The 18,790-nt window shown below is 41.8% G+C and overlaps 1 long non-coding RNA gene across 3 annotated transcripts in view; it reads right to left on the bottom strand.

Annotated features, from left to right (window-relative positions):
* LOC105372666 (uncharacterized) overlaps positions 1 to 18,790 on the bottom strand; it is a 483,513-nt gene that overhangs the window by 8,165 nt on the left and 456,558 nt on the right. For 2 of the 3 annotated variants that reach the window (XR_007067652.1, XR_007067653.1), the window contains 7 exons: positions 16,663 to 16,843; positions 15,850 to 15,940; positions 11,480 to 11,606; positions 10,681 to 10,781; positions 8,883 to 8,971; positions 4,441 to 4,586; positions 778 to 916 (listed from right to left, as the gene is read on the bottom strand). This is a non-coding gene — a long non-coding RNA (uncharacterized LOC105372666). Of the gene's footprint in view, positions 1 to 777; positions 917 to 4,440; positions 4,587 to 4,771; positions 4,804 to 8,882; positions 8,972 to 10,680; positions 10,782 to 11,479; positions 11,607 to 15,849; positions 15,941 to 16,662; positions 16,844 to 18,790 lie in introns of those variants that run through there. The other variant, XR_001754670.2, reaches the window with a different exon arrangement.

Below are 18,790 nucleotides of genomic sequence, written 5' to 3'. Positions count from 1 at the left end.
TGGGGAGTGGAAAAAGGGCACCAGGCTGGGGTTCATGAAAGTTTTGCCACTAAAGTCAATTTCTCCCCTTATAAAACAGAAGGTTTAAACTAACGCAGACCTAATTTTCTTCCACTTCTAACTGGCTATAATTATAGTGTGTAATAATGTTTCCATTTTATTTGGATCAGCACAATAAACACTATCGCTATTTGCATTGATGTTTACATTGATTTCATTACATTTCACTGATATTGCACTTTTAAGTTTTCCAAGTATTTTCCCATCCATAGTTTCATTTCAATTCCCAACTGTTCTGCGAGGTGCAAAGGGAAGATGTGTTGACTTCCTTTTATCTCTGAATACTGGAATGATCCTTGCTACATGCCTGGCAAGTGCTGAGTGCTTTATAATCCTTGTCTCTTGTGACCCTATGAGACAAGCATTATTATCCCTACTTTTCAGATGAGAAAACCAAGACTCAGGGAGAAGTCAAGGCCCAAGGGCACACACCGTAAGCGCTGAACCTGCATTCAAACTGATGACACCCAACTGACTCCCAAACCCCAAGCTCTTGGCCCCAGTATGCACAGGTCTTCTGAGAAACTGAGGTGCAGAAAGAGCTAGAACTTCCCTAATCACATTTATTGAACTGAAGCCTAGAATAATCGCCTCCTCTCCTGTGGTCCCGCTACTAGAACACAACTGGACTCGACCCTCTCCTTTTGGGGAGTGGGAGTGGGGCGGGCATAGAATCAATGCATGGTTCATCCTCACTGTGACTGAAATGAAGCTTACCTTCCCCCACTGCACTCTGCCATGGAGGGTGGGGTGGGGGCTGCTCTGCCTAGTGCCTGCTCCTTTAAACAGATGCACCAGCCTCTTGGGAGATGAAGCTCGTTGGTTCTGTCACTCGTGAGTAATGCACCATAGCTCCCTAGTGGGGAAAATGCCAGATTATACAATAGCATGCTTTGGTGTGCAACTGTCTTTAGAATAACAAATCTCCTCTTCTGCTTGTGAGCATTACGCTTTAATAAAAACAAAAATAGTGGCCACAAATCCCAGCTCTAGCTAAAGGGCATTTCTTCTAAATTCATGTTACACCCCTCACCGTACCCCACCCCCAACACACACCTTTCATCACTCACAGGGAGTGGGCTTTATTTACCTTTGTCTTTTGGTGGGAGCAGACAGAGGGAAAAGAGTTTCTCAGCCTCAGCACTGTTCACTACTGACCTCTTCAGTGGAATAATTCTTTGTTGGAGTGTTGGGGTGAGGAAGGGGGGCTGTCTTGTGCATTGCAGGATGGTTGGCAGCATCCCTGACCTCCACCCACAATCCACCACCCACAAATCTGGGCAGTGCCCCCATTCCAGTTGTGACAATAAAAATATCTCCACATATTGCCAAATGTCCCTTGGGGTCTGCATACTCTTGCATGGAAAGTGTTCGGTCCCAACAGTGGACAACGTAAATTAGATCTCAGCAGCATGGTCCTAGCTGCAGGTTGCCCATTCCTCCCCCACGGCCCTTTAGGGGAAAATGAGAGTGTTGCAAATACCATGCACAGCCGGGCCTGGAAGGCCGGGGGCGAGGGTGCTATGCAGAAAGCAGGCTTTCGGATGGAGACGCAGCCTGAGCTCCTGCCCGCCTGCTCTCAGCTGCACTGGCACCACCTTCACACGTTCCAAACTTAGAGGTGAGAGCTCACAAGTGAGAGAGGCGCAGGAACCCAGCAGAGCCACAGGTTGGAAATAGCACACTCTGGGAACGCAGAGGGGATGGGTTTCCTTCCTGCCTGCATTCGAGCAGCGCAGTATGATAGAAATACATTTAGGCATTCTTGTTGCAAATAGGCACGGAATTAATGTTGGCCTCCAAGTACTTCCTCTATTTCTGAGACTTGGTATGCCTCCCAAAGGGTATTGTTTGCCCCCACAGAGTTTTTGAAATTTGGAATCGTTGCCAGCATTGGAATAGTGCTTTGTAAAAATGCAGATGTCAGATGTGAGGCTCCTTAAGAAAAATCGGAAGTTCTGGATGGATGTTATTGGGTAATTGGCCTGCAAGCTCACACGGCAACCCCAGGCAGGGACTGGGCGGTGGCACCCCTGTAGATGAGGCAGGTGCTCTGGTGTTCCCCAGGGACCCACTCAGCCACTTCACCAGTTTACACTGCCTGCCTGGACTCCCTAGATACTTGAGTTGAATGCCCCTCCTCTATGTTTTTAAAATGTGTTGTATTAAGCAATGTTAGACACATTCAAAAATACATTTAACACATGTGTAAGTTGGAAAGCACACTAACAAAACTAGCATCCAGGAACCTACCATCTAACTTTAAAACTGTCACTTTATCTTGAATATCCTGTTATTTTCTCCTTCTCTCCCACTCAGGTATACGTTATTCTGAATTTTGTGTTTATCATTCTCATGTCTTTTTTTGTATTTAGTTTTATTCCATATGTATGCATCCTGAAATAATATGCTACTTGGTTTTGTTTGTTTGAGGTTGATAAAAATGGTATCATAGTGTATGTAGTCTTAGGTGATTTTTTTTTTCACTCAACTGTATGCTTCTGAGATGTAGCCACATGGTTGCATATAGCTGTGGCTCTTTCATCTTCACTGCTGTATAATATTCCAACATCCCAGAATTTCACCTGGCTCCCTCCTTCTCAGCTCCCTTCTTCTCAAGGATAAGCTTTCTAATGACACTGTCTCAAAAAGCTTTGGAAGCCATCAATTCAAACAAGATGCTTTCTCATTCTTTTCTCTTTAAGCATTCAGTTTGGTTTTTTTTCCAAAACGCTTGCCACAATTTGCAATTACTTGTTCTTTGTTTTTGTTTTTGTTTTGAGACAGGGTCTCACTTTGTTGCCCAGGCTGGAGTGCAGTGGCGTGAACAAGGCTCACTGTAGCCTCAACCTTCCGGGCTCAAGTGATCTTCCTTCCCCAACCTCCCATGTAGCTGGGACCACAGGCATGTGCCACCATGCCCAGCTAATTGTTTGAATTTTTTTTTTTTTTTAATTTTAGAGACAGGGTCTCACTATCTTGCCCAGGCTGGCCTGGAACTCCTGAGCTCAAGTGATCCTCCCAGCTCAGCCTCCCAAAGTGTGGAGATTACAGATGTGAGCAACCATGCCCCACCTGCAACTGCTTTTTCAGTTTGCTCACATATTTGTTCATTACTATTTTTCAGCAGACTGTATGTTCCCTGCAGGGAGGATCTGCCTACTGTCTTTGCTGTTACCCCAGCACTCAGGCAGAACTCAACAATGTTCTTCATGCACAACAATGAATATAGGAAACAATGAATATGTTTTTCTGAAAATTTGATAACTATTTATGGGCAAGGAAATGAGACTGTAGCCCCTGAAGAATGCTAATTGGCCTTTTAAACTGAAGGTAGAAATCTAATATGCTTTATTCACAGTGCTTGAGTCTGAAGTGCTTGGTAAATATTTGTAAGGGTTGTTAAGTGAGGTGATATGTGCAAACTCTGGGTCATGGCTTCTCAAGCACCTTGCCCACTCGTCTGCACTTACTTCTTCCCCCTAGCTGAAATGTGGGGATGGTAGTAAACCATTCTGAGTCAGACAAACAAGGAAGTTGTCAAAAAATGGAGAAGCAACAAGTAAGAAGGTGCTGGATGACTGATACTATGGTACTGCCATACTATAGCAGCCCTAGGCTTAGAGAGAGAAAGGGCTTCTCTTTTGGTTAAGCCAAACTCATCCTGGGTCCCTATGACAGCAGTCAACCTCTGTGCTAATGAATACGGTCTGTTGGTAGAACCCTGCTGGGAGTAGAGGGAATTAGTTGCCCCTAAGAAGATGTACTCGACCACTAAGCAATCCTCTGACATTACCCTCCTATCTACTGCCCCTATAAAGGTGGTGAGTGGGCCCCCAGGATCCAGGTACCCTCCCCCAAGCACCACTCCCTTCCCTTTCTCCAAGCTACCTCACTCTCTGATATGTCTTTCCTGATCAACAGCCCTTTAAAATTCCCTCTCTCTTTCTTTCACCATTTGGTTCCATCTCAAAAACACTGGTTACTGGACTTTGTTCTTGGAGTATTAGATGATCAGAGAGGGAGACAGCAACAACAACAACAACAAAAAAGCTTGGATGGGAGTCAGATAACCCAGTTCCAAAGCCAAAGCCAAAATTTCCAGATTTTACACAGAATCTTGTTCTGAATCTGCCCCAAGACACAGAATAGACGGTCAAGACCCAAGAGAATGTAACATTTCCCAAATAGCTATGGCCTGAAAATGTTTAAGGCAGGCCTAATCAGGTGTCCTCCTTAACCAAAATGAATTCTTCATAAACCACCTGTAGCTATGATAAAGTGACTTCCTGGAGAACCTGCCAAAACAAACCATTTGTGAAACGTACACCAAGGAAACTAAAGGAAGTGACTTTCTGCAAGGGATCATTATTTATATACCAGGAAAATGTTGAGGAACATTTGCCAAAAACAATAGTTTCAGAAGCGTTGGTCGGCTGCCGATCCATCTGACAATAATTAGCTAGCAAGAGCCACTGTCTGTCTCTTCAGGCCACGTCAGGTTGGATATCATCAAGCCAGACCATCTGAAAATAAAAGAAGGCATATTTTTCATTCCCTGGTATTATTGTCCGTCTTTAATGGCATCAGCTTATGGGTAAACAAGATCTAAACAACAAATGGCAACCTTTTTTTGAGTTCTTCCTAAATGCCAGGTAATAAAGTATTCTATCTCATTAAAATATTATTTAAAAAACTATGATGTACATACCATCCCCATTTCCATCTGAGGACAATCAAGGCCTGGAAAAGCAAAAGAATTTCCTGAAGTCCACCTTTCTAGCAAGGTGTAAATTTAGGATTAAAAACCAGTTCCATCTTCGTTCTTAGCAGGTGTGACAGTATTTCTTAAATTCCATCCATTTGTGTACTGCATCAAAAATGTTTGCCATATCTATGCAATAACTGTTATAAAGACATGAAATGCTTTACTTTCAATAGCTTTCCCTTCCTTTTTGGTTTCCTAGATTTATTTAAAAGGGAAATATTTTACAAAAACCATAAATGTAAAGCACAAGTGTCATTTGCCTTACATAGATGACCAACTTGAATATGTCACAATATAAACATTAAAATGCTATAAAATTCTATCTGGACTTGTTGCCTGTTGAAGGGTCTGAGCCTGAAGTCTCCTCTTCCTTTGTCAAAAAGGGAGATTAACAAGTGATAGTGTGGTGTTAAAGACTACGTTAGCACCAGCTGAGACTTTCTCCCCAACCAGACAGAAGGACTTAAAGAAAATCCAATGGGCAAATCTTTCCTACTAGGAGTGTCACTGTTATTTAATCATGAGTCAATGTACCCCCAAATCATTTTGTTGTGTTTTGTCTTGCTTTTATGAAATACCGTATTATGCTCTGCTGTCATTCAAAAGATGTGTATTGGAAACACAGATTTACCCGTTTGTATATATTTTCTTTCCTTTTAGTTTAATTGACACATAATAATTGTACATATTTATAGGGTACATAGTGATGTTTCAGTACATATAATGGACAGTAGAGATTTTTAAGATTCCACATCAATAATGTACATACCACATTAAGTTTGATCATCTTGAAACCCATCACTAATTCCTGCTCATGGATTAAAAATCTAAGAAAAGCAATAAAAGTAAAAATTTACCTACTCTTTCTCAAGATAGATTTATCCATTAATTCATTGATTCATTCATTTCAGAAATGCTCATTGAGAGCCCCAAGTGCTGAGAATAAAATGGCAAACAATACAGACATTGTTCTGCCCTCACATAGCTTATCAAATGAAATCATGTTGTGATTGTAGCTAAACTAGGTGGCAACACTCGTTGAATAGCAATAGCACAACTGAATAAAGCCTTCCTGCCCCTTAAGTAGAACATGGAACTGAGAAGTTAGACTGGCAGATAGATATGGAGAAGGAAGGATCATTATCTGGCCTCTCTCAGTCAGTTTTCTGAAGTGACAGCACTAAGCAACTGTTCTTGGTTTATTGATGGAGAGGAGCCAGCCTCCTGGATGTGTTGTCCAGCATCTGAGTTTCCACCATTTCTTTCACTTACTGCATTTCTTTCTCAAGTAGAGGAGTCCCAGTACCCTCTCTTATCACAAAAGAAGCAGTTATAATCAGCCAATCCATACCTGGAATCAAAAAGACCTCGCCTCAAGTCTTGGCTTCATCACTCTCTACCTGTATGGCCTGGATGTGTGACTTTCCTAAGTTCCTTCATCTATAGAATAGGATCATAATACAACCTGTCTTTGGAGTTACTGTGAGGACTGGGTGAGACAATGCACAGAACTGTGATCACCTAATAGCCAGCGATAGCATCCCTACAAGATCTTGTTGCAGACTGAAACCCCACCCATGCAGAAATGAATGTATTAAGACCCTAAGCTTCTATAGGCATAAAATATGAAAGGGCTTCAGAAAAAAAAAGCACTGGGATCCTCACTTTGGGGGCTTCTAACTCCCCTGTTCCTGAGGGAGACTCACAGTCACCACTGAGCATGTTCCAAGGAGCCTTGATGTGTAGGAATGTGTGGAGCTACCTGTATTGCTGCCAGGCCCCACTTGTCATTCACTAAACCAGTAGTTCTCAACTAGGGGTTATTTTGGCCTCAGGGGATATTTGACAATATCTGAAGACAGTTTTGTTTGTCACAACTGGAGACGCTACTGGCATCTCATGTGTAGAGACCAGGGATGCTGTTCAACAACTTACAATGCCCAGGATGGCCCCCACCATGGAGAATTGTCAGGTCCAAAATGCTAACAGTGCTCATGTTGTGGAATAAGGAGAACTTTACCAAACCAGTGCCTGGTGAGGAAATAAATCTCTAGAATGTCCAGGTCGGGATATCTGTGTCCTAATGGAACCAGCTGATACTAATGGGGATAACGAGGACATTTCTAAGGTAAAGAAGAGTCAGGCATGGGAATGTTTGGTGAGAGGGAAGAAGTAAGGGTTGGAGGAGGATTTCTGCTTAGTTGAATGTCTACTCCATGAATCTAAAGACAACAGAAAAAGGTGCAGCCAGAGGATTGCTGGCAATGGGTCATTGTTTTTTTGTTTGTTTGTTTGTTTGTTTTAGTGGAGTTTTACCTAAGGACCTAAAAAGGGAGGAGGGGGGAATTCAATAAAATCAGAAATGTTATGAGCAACTCTGAAGCGTGATCCAGCAAAATTTCATGCCCTTTAAGAACCTTGGAGGGCAAGGAGTTTGTGGACCAAATGTGGCTTGTGCCAATTTTTCTTTTTAACCTTTGAGTATGAGCCAATGCAACACAATGAGAAAAGTACAAGAGTAGAAGTTGGTACCAAGGTAGACAGGCAGCCCAGACTCAATTTTACTCCAACACCCATCCATCTAAAATTTGTCTCCAAGGTCACAGATAAAATGCAATTTGTTTCATAATAAGCCCCAGGAGTTTACATTAAAGACATGATTACCCAGAGGCAATGAGAGCTGTCTACAGTTTCTTCTGTTTCAAGAATATTTCTAACCTAAAGAAAGACAGGATAGCTCTGAAGTTTCACTGTAAATTTCAGCCTGTGATTTATACAAAATATAGAAATTTTGCATATTTGCAAATTTGCAAACCCTTTCTCTCCGACCCTCTGATCTTCTTTGGTGCCCCTAATAGCAAAGCCCAGCAGGAAGCTGGAGGCGGCCAGAGGCAGTTTGACTCAACTCCATCCAGGTGAATGGAAACATGATAAGGAACCTAGGCTGCAAAGCAAGTACTGCCGGCACCACTCAGCTGGAGAAGCCCCTTCATCTGGCTAAGCCTCAGTGTCTTCATCTGTAAGATGGAGATGCTAAAAGCATCCCCCTCATGGTGCTGATGGGAGGCCTGGGTCAGATAAGACGTGCAAAGTACCTGGTAAGGACACTGCTAATAGTAGCTATAATAATGGCTCGAGTATGCAATGCCCCAGCTTGGTTTTGAAACAGTCATTGATCCCAGCAATGAAACCACTGTAGAATAAAGGCTGTCAGCTTACAGCTTGGCCTAATGCTGATGTGACAGATAGTTGGGCTTTTGATGGAGCCTTATGCTCCATAGTTGAGCAACTCTAATTGGGGGAATGAGGTCCAATCCACGATCAATCACAGATATGCAAAATTTCTATTTCCTGTATAATTCACAAGCCAAAATTTCCAGTGAAACTTTGGTGCTGCCCTGTCTTTCTTTAGGATAGAAATATTCTTAAAACAAAAGAAATTGTAGACAGCTCTCATTGCCTTCTGGGTAATCATGTCTTTAAAGTAAACTCCTGGGACTTATTATGAAACAAGTTGCATTTTACTCGTGCCCTTGGAGAGGAGTTTTAGATGGATGGGTGTTGGAGTGAAAGCTTCTAGAAGCCGATCTTATTTCAAAGGAAAAGAATGTGCTTTCAATTTTTGATGGTATACAGTGGATTATTTTTATACCCATTCCTGAGTCTTTCATTGGAATACATACTAGCTATCTGCTGCCATAACAGTGAGGGAATTTTCCACTCTAACAACTGTGATCCTGTTTTATCTTTATGATGTGCAGAGGAAATGAGTGTTTGGCTGAAATTAGCAACTTTTATCCCATCTTCTCCTGGGAGCCCAAGATTCAACAACAGCATTTAGTCAACATTTATTGGACTCCTTCTATGTGTATGATACTGTGCCAGCATCTAGGGTTGTGATATTCTAGAAGACATAGTTATAACTGGGTGAACTCGAGGAAGGGGCAAGGACTAGAGTTGGAAGTGATTGTCAGAATCAGTGAGGCTCTCAGCATGATGGAATGCACATGTACACTGGGTAGTGGAAGGAACATTTAATACAGGGACACCTTACCTAGAGGGAGGCAGGCTTTAAGGAGAGCAGCAAGGTACAGAGCTGGACATCTGGAATAGTGAAAGCAGGAACCATTCACCAGCCCAGGCCTGAAGGACAAGAAGAAAAAGTGCCACCAGAGCCCAAGAGGTGACTGCAGGAAGAGGGACACCTGAGGAGACCTAGAGCCTTAGTTAGAGGGACACAATCAGCCGTGGGAATGTGGCGGGGAGGGAAGTAGGAGACGCATACATCAAACCCTTTCCCTCCCACCCTCTGACCTTCTTTTGTGTCCCTAGTGGCCAAGCCCAATAGGAAGCTGGAGGGCAAAATGTCTGTCAAGGCAGACCCCACGGTCAGGCTCCCAGCGCACTGTGGGAGTAAGTGACTGGTAAGTGTATCTAGAGAGACATGAAAGAGATCTGACGCGTGGCCCAGGAGGATGGCATTCTTTATCTGTGATGTTTGGATTTCATGCAAGGAAAATGCATTAAAATGAAGGAGAAGAAGGAGAAAGAGAAAGAGGAAAAGAAAGAAGCCAGAAAAGGCATAATAGGGAAGAAAGACAGATAAACAAGCAATTACATGCAGAGGAAGTGCGTTCCTGCAGCAAGCACTGGTTGCTATGGGAACGCCAAAGAGAAGTCCCTCCTTCAGGGTTGGGGAGTCAGGTGAGGCTTCCTGAAGAAGAAGCAACCATCTGAGTTGAAACCCGAAAGGCCAGCAGGAATCCGCCAGGTGAGAGGGCCAGGAATGACATTTACAAAGGCCCTGATGTGAACCGAGACATGACTGGTTCTTAGAGGTCAAAGGTAAGTTTGGGGAGAGGCAAGAAGGAAGATCAGCGAAGGAAGCAGAAAGAGGACCAGAAAGAACCTCATATGTGACAACAAAGAGCTCAGATTTCATTCTATAGAAAATGAGGAGACATAAAGTGACAAGAATAAACTGATACTTTTCATGTTTTCCTCCAACTTGACTCTCAGAAAGTACATTTGATGCTGTTACCCATTAGCAAACACATACCAGTTTGTCCCTGTACTTGACCAAAAAAAAAAAAAAGAAAAAAGAAAGTGTGTGGGGGAGATTGGTTTGTCTTTTGAATCCATGGCAAAGATCCAAATGGCAAAAAAAAAAAAAAAAAAAAGAAAGAAAAGTAAAAACTAAAAACACAGGTGGTTCCTTTGGTTGGGTGAATGTTTCCCTGACAAAGGAAAGTGCTGATGTACCTCTCTACTAACCACTGCATGCCTGAATAGAGATACCAGCATTTCAAAAGGCAACCTGACACACCTTTGGCATTTAAGAAATAGAAGTCTTAAGCTTCAGCACCATGAGCCGAGCCCAGATTAATGACCTTTCAGACTATAGGCTCAAGGAATTAGAAATAGGTCAGCCCTGCAAAGAATTTTAAGAAATCACTGAACCACTGCAAATCAGACAGCTTCTCATTGGTTCCACCCACTCCTAAGAAAGTGACCCTCCCCACTTCCTGATTGCCTCTATTTCATCAGCTCCCTTCATTTTGGGTGTTGGGGGAACAAATATAGACAAAATATTGCAAAATATTGCAAAAATATTGCGAAGTATTGCAAAAATATGACCTTTGGTGCAAAACAAAGGAAATATAAAAACAGACGTATGCCAATTCCTCATTGGGTTCCTCTTTCATAGGCCACCGGTTCGTGGAGGAGGGGTGATTTTCATACCTGAGTGTCCTTTGCATATTTGCCTTTTGCTGTAAGACATGGGTATGCAATAAATAAATTCTGCAATATGATCTGACTGACAAAATTCCCAGGTCATGGCTTGTTTTTACCTTTATCTTGATGAAATTTGTTCTGAAATTGTGAGTTTGGACATGGAGACTATCTTCTCATACCCTGGCACCGGAAAACCACTGGTGGGATCTCCAAAATCCTAACACATGAACATTATTCACTGGATTAGTCCCTGTGTCTCTCAGGATAACGAGGTTCTACTGATTTGACCTTACTTTCTCTGGTTTCCCAAATTTTGCTTTGGAGATATAAGCATCAGCACTCACCTGATGTCAGTTGCTAATAAACCAGATTTTCTCAAACTGAATCCTGTTTCCTGGATCTCATTGTTCTGCCTGCCCACATTCAGGTTTACATTTCTGCAAGGGCTATTTTAGAAGAACCATGGCTTTGCCACAAAGGTTCTATCCAGAATAGTTACTACTTTCTGGGGCAAATGGCTCCTACTCCACTATCCCATCTCACCATGGTGAGAGATGGTCATAGCACTCCTGCCCGCTTCCTGACCACATGAGTGGGCACAATCTGGGCCAATGGTCCTACCATTTCCCCTGGCCACAGTGATGGGTCCAGGGATAGCTCTGGGTCTGAAGTCAAGGCCAGTCAAACAGGGTAAGACTCTCACAGTGACTGTCAGACTGGGCTAAGGCCCTAGATCCATTTATGTATGAAACCAGCCTGCTCTATCCTTCCCATGGCTTGGTTAAATAAGGCAGTTAGTGTCCCTCTTTGGCTTCAGAAAAAAATAGTTTGATTTCTCTATAACCTGACAAAGTCCTGCTCTTCATGCTTTTAAGAAAAAGTTCTCAGTTCTTTCCACATATTAAATTTACTCACTCATAGAATAGTGACGGAATATCTCAGGTCCCTGGTACAGCTGTGAGGAGTGAACATAGTATCTCATCTCCTAATGTCTCTCCAACTGGTCACAACCACAGATGTGCACAAAGGCTTGGTTTTGTTGCTGGAAGGAGAGGAAAGACAAGATAGCAGAAGGAGTGTCAAGGCATCAGCGCCTCCATCCCTATAGACTAGATTCGATGATCTCTGGCTAGAGGACTAACGACTAGAAGCTGCAGGACTCATTTTCACAAGAAAGTATGTGAGGCCATGAGCTGCAGGCTCCTGCCTTCATGCCCAAGGGGCATAAGCTGTGACAGATTCAGACAGGCTGTGGTATTTCCCATCTCTGCAGAGAACCCATAGCCAATTCCCCAGGCATGCAACTGAAAGAGCACTTCACATGGAACCCCACACTTGATCAATGCTTTGCTGTTGCAGACTTTAAATAACATTTAAAGTTATTTAAATAAATTTTAAAGAAAAGGCCCCACATTTTTATTTTGCACTGGATCCTACAAATTATGTAGCCAGTCTTGATAGAACCAGCACTTGTTGGTGTCCCAGAGGTTGTGAGGTAATAGTTTATATATGAAGAGCATCATTAGGAAGGTGATGGCAAAACTCCTTCAACTGGTTTTGTAGCCAGTGGAAACCAGAGAGTGGTTGGAATAGAGTAGAACGTGGAGGATGGCGGCTGATGGACTTGACTGTGGCTCCATGAGAGAGTTATTTTTTGGAAGTTCCTAGAAAGTACCAGGGAGACTTGCTTGGGTTGAGTCGGGGGAATGGACTCTGATCCTACAATCAAGTTGGTGGGGGACTCAGAGCATTTAAATGGGGAAATAATATAAACACAACTCAAATATACAGAAAAAAAGTCATTAGGGGCAGTCTGGAATCAAGACTGCCTGGGGTCTCATTTCTGCTATTTCATAACTGTGCGACCTTGGTCAAATTACCTAACTTCTCCATACTTCATTTCCCTCATCTATAAAATAAAACTAACATTTGTACCTATCTCATCACATTTTATTAAAAATTATGTTAGATAATACATGCAAAGCAAAGAGCACAGTGTCTGGCACACACAAAGTAAATCTTTAATAAAAGTTAACTGTTATTAAAATTATACATACTTTGGGAACAAGTAATTCTAGGTGTGTGAATAATTAGCCAATAAAAGTGTTAAGGATTATATGCCTTTTACTATGAGCTAAGCAATGTTCTAAATCAGTGACACTCAAGACTTTTAGGGCTTAAGATGCCTTCACACTCTTAGAAATCATTGAGCTTCCCAGAGAGTTTTTGTTTATATGGCTTATCGCAATCAATATTTGCCATGGTAGAAATTAAAACTGTGAAAGTTTTAATATATTTATTTATAAATTCATGCTAAAAAATAATAAATTAATAATAAATGACTGAATCCATTACATGTTAATATAAACAACATATGCTTATAAAAGGATAACTATAGTTTCCAAAACAAAAAATATTTAGTAAGAAGTATATTTTTAATGCCTAGTTGTAGAAAAGAGCTACATTCTCATATCTTTCCCTGTGTTGTCTGTAATAATATGTTGTTCTGGTTAAGGCAAGCGTATGAGGAAAATCCAGTCCCGCACATGTGTGTACTTAGAATAGTACTATAAAAAGCTTTTCAGATAAGTAGGGATTTTCTTCTTTGATACTACACCAAAACTCAACAAGTAATAATTTTTTAAAGGTTACTACAATGTGGAATGTGAAATCATATTCAATAGACTTTTCATACTCTGCTACATTAAAATCCATTTGGTCTATCTTGCAATTTGAATAGACCTTTAATGCATGCATGATTTTGTAACATCACACATTGGTCATTTGGAAAATATTGACTTAGCAAGTTATGAAGATATTCCAGATACTGACATATTTCATATCACCACCATTCTTATCAGAAAGGAATTTAAGCATGGGGAAGCTGTCAAGCTCACAGTGGTGAGTTTAACTTTTACAAAATTCTCATTTTTGCTTGAAAAGAAGAATTTTATAATTGGCAACAAATACCACTTGCTGTTTTCCTTGCAGTGATACTTATTTTGCTCATTTTCAAAAAAAAAAAAAATCTGCCAGATTCTGAGGTCTGAATTACCATAATTTGTCAGTCATTCTTCCAAATAAAGATGTTTTATGAAAACCATGTCTACTTCAGCTCCCAACTCAATCATACAAGTGTTTTCCTAGAAACAACCATCATGCCTTATATAGCAGAAGTGCTTTATATACACTTCCCTTTTTATCACACAGAACATTAAAAATATCAAGATTTAATAAACTTAAGAAATGTTACTACTTCATCAAGTCTGCTCTTAAGTTTCATTTTTTTCCCCCGCAAGTATGCTGTGGTGCAGAATACCAAGACTTCTAGCATAGTTGGTGCCACCACTTAGTACCACTTGTGGTACTAAGGCACCACAGTCTACCCAGCATTGATCTTGCACCATTATTCCAAAAGTCAACTCATGAAAAGGCAAATTACTTATTAATATTTTTATGAACATACTTTTGATTTTGTGGATCCTAGGTCTCTGAGACTCTTAGAAATCATCAGAATAACTCTATAACATGGGTGTTATTATCCCCATTTTCTAGATAAGAAAATTGAAGCAAAATGGGCTTACTTAAGATCATACAGCCACCAAGAAGGACCAGGATTTACCTGGAGCGTGTGCTCCTAACCATTATGATGAAATAAAGGCGTGGTTGTTATCTGCATATTTTACAACCACAGTTTTTTGAGACATTTGCTATGGTGATGAGAAAAAAGAAAAAGGACCTAAAAGCAAGACAGACAAAGGAATAAAGAGAAAGATCAAAAAGAGGAAATTATCTCTGATGAAAGATTACCATTTATCCATGAGATTAAAATACCTCCCTGGACACAGTCAGAACACAGCACACTTAAAATCTCATTGATTTACAATGCAATTTAGATTTTTTTTTTGAAACCAGGTAATATAAGAACAAGTATAAACTAAAAGCCTTGGATGACAAACTTGGGTCAGCATCAGAGTTCAAGGAGAAGGTGGTGACGACTGAGCCAGGTTCTCAAAGAGCAGTACATTCCTTTCTCTTTAAAGGCAATTTATCAGGATTTATCCAAGCCTGTAAGAACAATCCCTTAAGACCATCCAATTTCCTTTCTTTCTAATTCCATACTTAGCAGAGCAACCTTCTGATAATTAATTTGGTTCCTCAGGTAAGTCAATACCAGGAAAGAGACTGACAGAGTTACTGTGCCAGCTACATCACCTGCTGTAAATGAATAAATTGGTTTGTGGATTTATCAATCTACCTCCAAGAGTTCAGTTTGCAAACACCACTTTTCCTAGGGTGCCCTGTCATTTGACTTGCAGACCTGCAATGCTAGGTGACCAAAGTGAGAAGGGCTCTTTTAAGACTTTCATAATCCTGGCCATTCTTGTCATAGGAGGTACCACCTTGTATTATGTCAAGAATATTAAAATGCACTCACTCCCTGGGCTGCCATGTTGACAAGCCCACTTTTGAGTGGAGCTCCCTGGAATTGTACAATATGTGACCCCGCTTCCATTGCATATTAACTGAAATGTATTTTGTGAAAAACAAGTGGAAAGACTGTTTATTAAGCTACTTATTTAGTTACGAGTTACTCATTTGCCCAAAAGTTCCCAGCAATCATTACGTATAGCGGAGAATGCTGCCCTGACCACCCTATTTAAAAGTACAACTCACACCTGCCCACACCACCATGGACCCTACTTACTTCTCCTCCCCTGCCTTATTTTCTTTATGGAACTTGTGAACATAGGATGCTGATGCAGGACAGGCAACCCCGGATTGGAGATTAGCCCATGAGGGTTCTTGGCTTCACCCAGGAAACAATTCAAGGGTGAGCCAGTGGTAGGGTAGAAGAAAACAGCTTTATTGAAGTGGCAGTGTTATAGCTCAGGCAGTATTACATCTCTGTGACTGCTCCTACAGAGTTGGGCTACCCCATGGGCAGTGTGCTGAGAGTAGCAGCTCAGGGCAGTTTTGCAGCCATATTTACACTTACTTTTAATGACTTGGAGATTAAGGGCCAGTTGATGCAGAAATTTCCAGAGGAAGGGTGGTAACTTTGGGATCCTTGGGTCGTTGCCATGGAAAGGGGTGGTAACTCCGGGTGTTGCCATGGCAGTGGTAAACCTGACATGGCAGACGGGTGAGGTGTCTTATGGAAAGCTGCTTCCGTCAGGTCCCTGTTTTAGCTAGTCTTCAATTTGGTCTGGTGTCATCGGAGCCCAGCCTCCAGAGTCAAGTCCCACCTCCCTCCTCAATACCATAGATCTAATTTATCTTACCATAGATCTAATTTATCTTGTTTATTGTCATTCCATTTTCACCATGAGGGCTGGTATTTTTGTGTTTTATCCACTACAGAAACCTCAGCACCTAGAACAGAATGGAACCTAGTAGATATCTAGCAAATATTGGTTGAATTAATAAATGCATTAATTTCAAGTGAATTTTTTATATGTTAAAATTATTATTATTATTATTTTTTTAGTTTTTAGATCTCAAATATTTTAGAGGTCCTTAAAATCTATATAGACTGTAGGTACTCTGCCTTGGGGTGGGGCTCCTCCCCCAGCTCCCACCTTGTAGGCACAGAGTACTCAATACTCCTTATTGGGGACAGCAGACTCGGCTGTTCTCCTCTCACACCACCTTGAATCCTTCTTACAGTCTCCTGTGGGTCCTATCCCCACTTCCCCCCCTTCTTTGGGCACTTTCCTATACTTGTGATTCTTTTTAAGGAGCTGCCGCAGGCTATGAGGGCTGCTCTGCTTACAGGGAAGATAACCAGAAGTGCCTGGGAGTTTATGCCTCTCCCAGTGGCTCTTAGGCAAGGACCAATTGTAGGGGGAGTATGAAACCCCACTTCTTTTTCTGCCAGTTGAGAAAAAAATCTGGGGGGAGATTTACACTCCTGAGCTCCCCATAGGATCAGGCTGAGGCTGAGATTTGCCTGAAGTCACATCTTGCCTGGCTGGCTCCTTTCCCTTCCCTGGGCTGCTTCTCCCATCACCCTACACAATTCTTCTGGGGGAACATTCTCAGTAAATCCTTGCCCATGAATTCTCATCTCAGGTTCTACCACTGGAGAATCTGACCTGGCACCCCCACAGCAGCCTCACGCAACGTGTGCTTAATTTCCTTAGGATGAAGTTCACTGTGGCTGCTGCTGCTGCTGCTGCCCGCATGCCCAAGAATCCAGGTAGGACCAGGTACCTCTGTCATGTTCTTCATGGAACGAATGGCCTTCTGGGTGCACAGCCAGCCCCAGACAAATACCTGAGAGGAGGGAGAAATGACGGGATGAAACAAGTTTTAAAAATGACCACATGATGCTCAGAAGCACAAAGGTTGGAAAATAGTGCCATAATATTGAGAAATGGGTTCAAGCTCAACTCACCTACAGATTTATTATGCGACCCTAGACAAGCCTCCATTTGATCAACTCCAGCTATTTTGCCCCTGAAGTTCAAGTCTGTGTTGAGCTTTTGATTCTCCCAAAGAAAATTATACCACTGCAATAGCTCTTGTTTCCAGCCTGCTTGTTTGAATTAAAGCTTTGCAGCATTTTAGTTTATGGTATCTCTGGGGAGGAGTGAATATGTCAGTGTAATTAACTCATCTGATGAGAGAGGTCTTGTTTATTTCCCCTACAAAATAACAGGTGGTGGTTGAGCTCCGATACATTATGGTGATATGAAACACATTTAGAATAAATCACATTAAATAAATAGGGAAACAAAATGATTTCGAGGTCTATTTTTTATTGTTTTAAATTAAGTTTTGAAAGTGAACAGCTGCATACCAAAAAGCCACACAACTGCTACTCACCTCCAATCTGCTTCTTTGAGAAAGGGTTAATGGCATTTTTAGGTTCAACCGATTAGGACTACTAGAAACTTGAGTATTCTCAAATTATTATCCAATCACTGGCTTTCTGAGCACCCTCTTTTTGCGTGGGATGTGGCAGTCTAATCAACTTGAGTGATCAGTTAAAATAACCATATGCATTTCATTACACAAAATCCACAATGACATGCATTTCAGAAACATGTAAGAGTAACACCATGTGCTGGGCATTAAGTAAATAAAAACAAATATGGAAGAGTCTTTCCTATGAGAGGTTCACAGTCTAAAGAAATATCGTAAATAAAAAGGCATTTCCAGGTATTAAAATTGTAAAGAATATTATTCCTTACTCCAAAAACTTTTTTTTTTTTGATATGGAGTCTCACTCTGTCGCCCAGGCTGGAGTGCAGTGGCATGATCTTGGCTTGCTGCAACCTCTGCCTCCTGGGTTCAAGTGATTCTCCTGCTTCAGCCTCCCAAGTGGCTGGGTCTACAGGCAGGCACCACCACCCCTGGCTAATTTTTGTAATTTTTGTAGAGAGGGGGTTTCACCATGTTGGCCGGGCTGGTCTGGAACTCCTGACATCAAGTGATCTGCCCACCTCGGCCTCCCAAAATGCTGGGATTATGGGTGTGAGCCACCGTGTCCAGCCAACCTGCAAAAACTTAATGTAACTTCAGAAATTGATTTTTCTTTTTTACAATTAAATGAATCAAGATCCTAGAAAGCAAGAACAAAAAATAAATTCAGCAAACCAGAAATGATGAAGAATTCCTGATGTGGTTCAAGGTGAGAATATTTGATTGGAGCTGTAGAGATATTAGGCAGAGAAAACCTGTGAGAAGGAGAATATGATGTAAGGGAAGTGGAAGAAGGATGGGAAAGGGGGAATGAGAAGGTGGAGGGGAGGCACCAAGGAGATGAGGAGGAGTAGAGGGGAAAAGAATGCAGAAAGGAAAGAAGGAAGGGAAAGAAGGTAAAAGTGAGGGGAAAGAAGAAGGTGGTGAAGGAAGGAGGAGAGAAAGGGGGAGTGGAAAAGAAAAAGGAAAAGAGGTAAGTGCTTGGAAAGATTGAATGGGTGGGAAAAGGAAGCAAAATGGCGGGGAAAAAGGAGAAAGGGTGGAGAACGTGAGAAAGCCGAGCAAAGCTGGATCAGATGGATGAGGACAACGTCATGACTTTTGGCGCATAATAACATTCCAGCCTCAGGGTCTACAATCAGAAGGAGCAAAAAGGGCCCTTATGAAACTGAATAAAGACCCTCAAAGATACTAGGTCTGGAACCTGTAAATATTACCTCAGGTGGAAAAAAAGGTCTTTGCAGATATGATTTAGTTAAGGATCTTGGGATGAGGAGATGATCTTGGCTCACGGTG

This window comes from Homo sapiens, chromosome 20 (genome assembly GCF_000001405.40).
Source record: "Homo sapiens chromosome 20, GRCh38.p14 Primary Assembly".
In the NCBI taxonomy this organism is placed as follows: Eukaryota; Metazoa; Chordata; class Mammalia; order Primates; family Hominidae; genus Homo; species Homo sapiens.
This window is presented reverse-complemented; position numbering and strand designations above follow the sequence as displayed.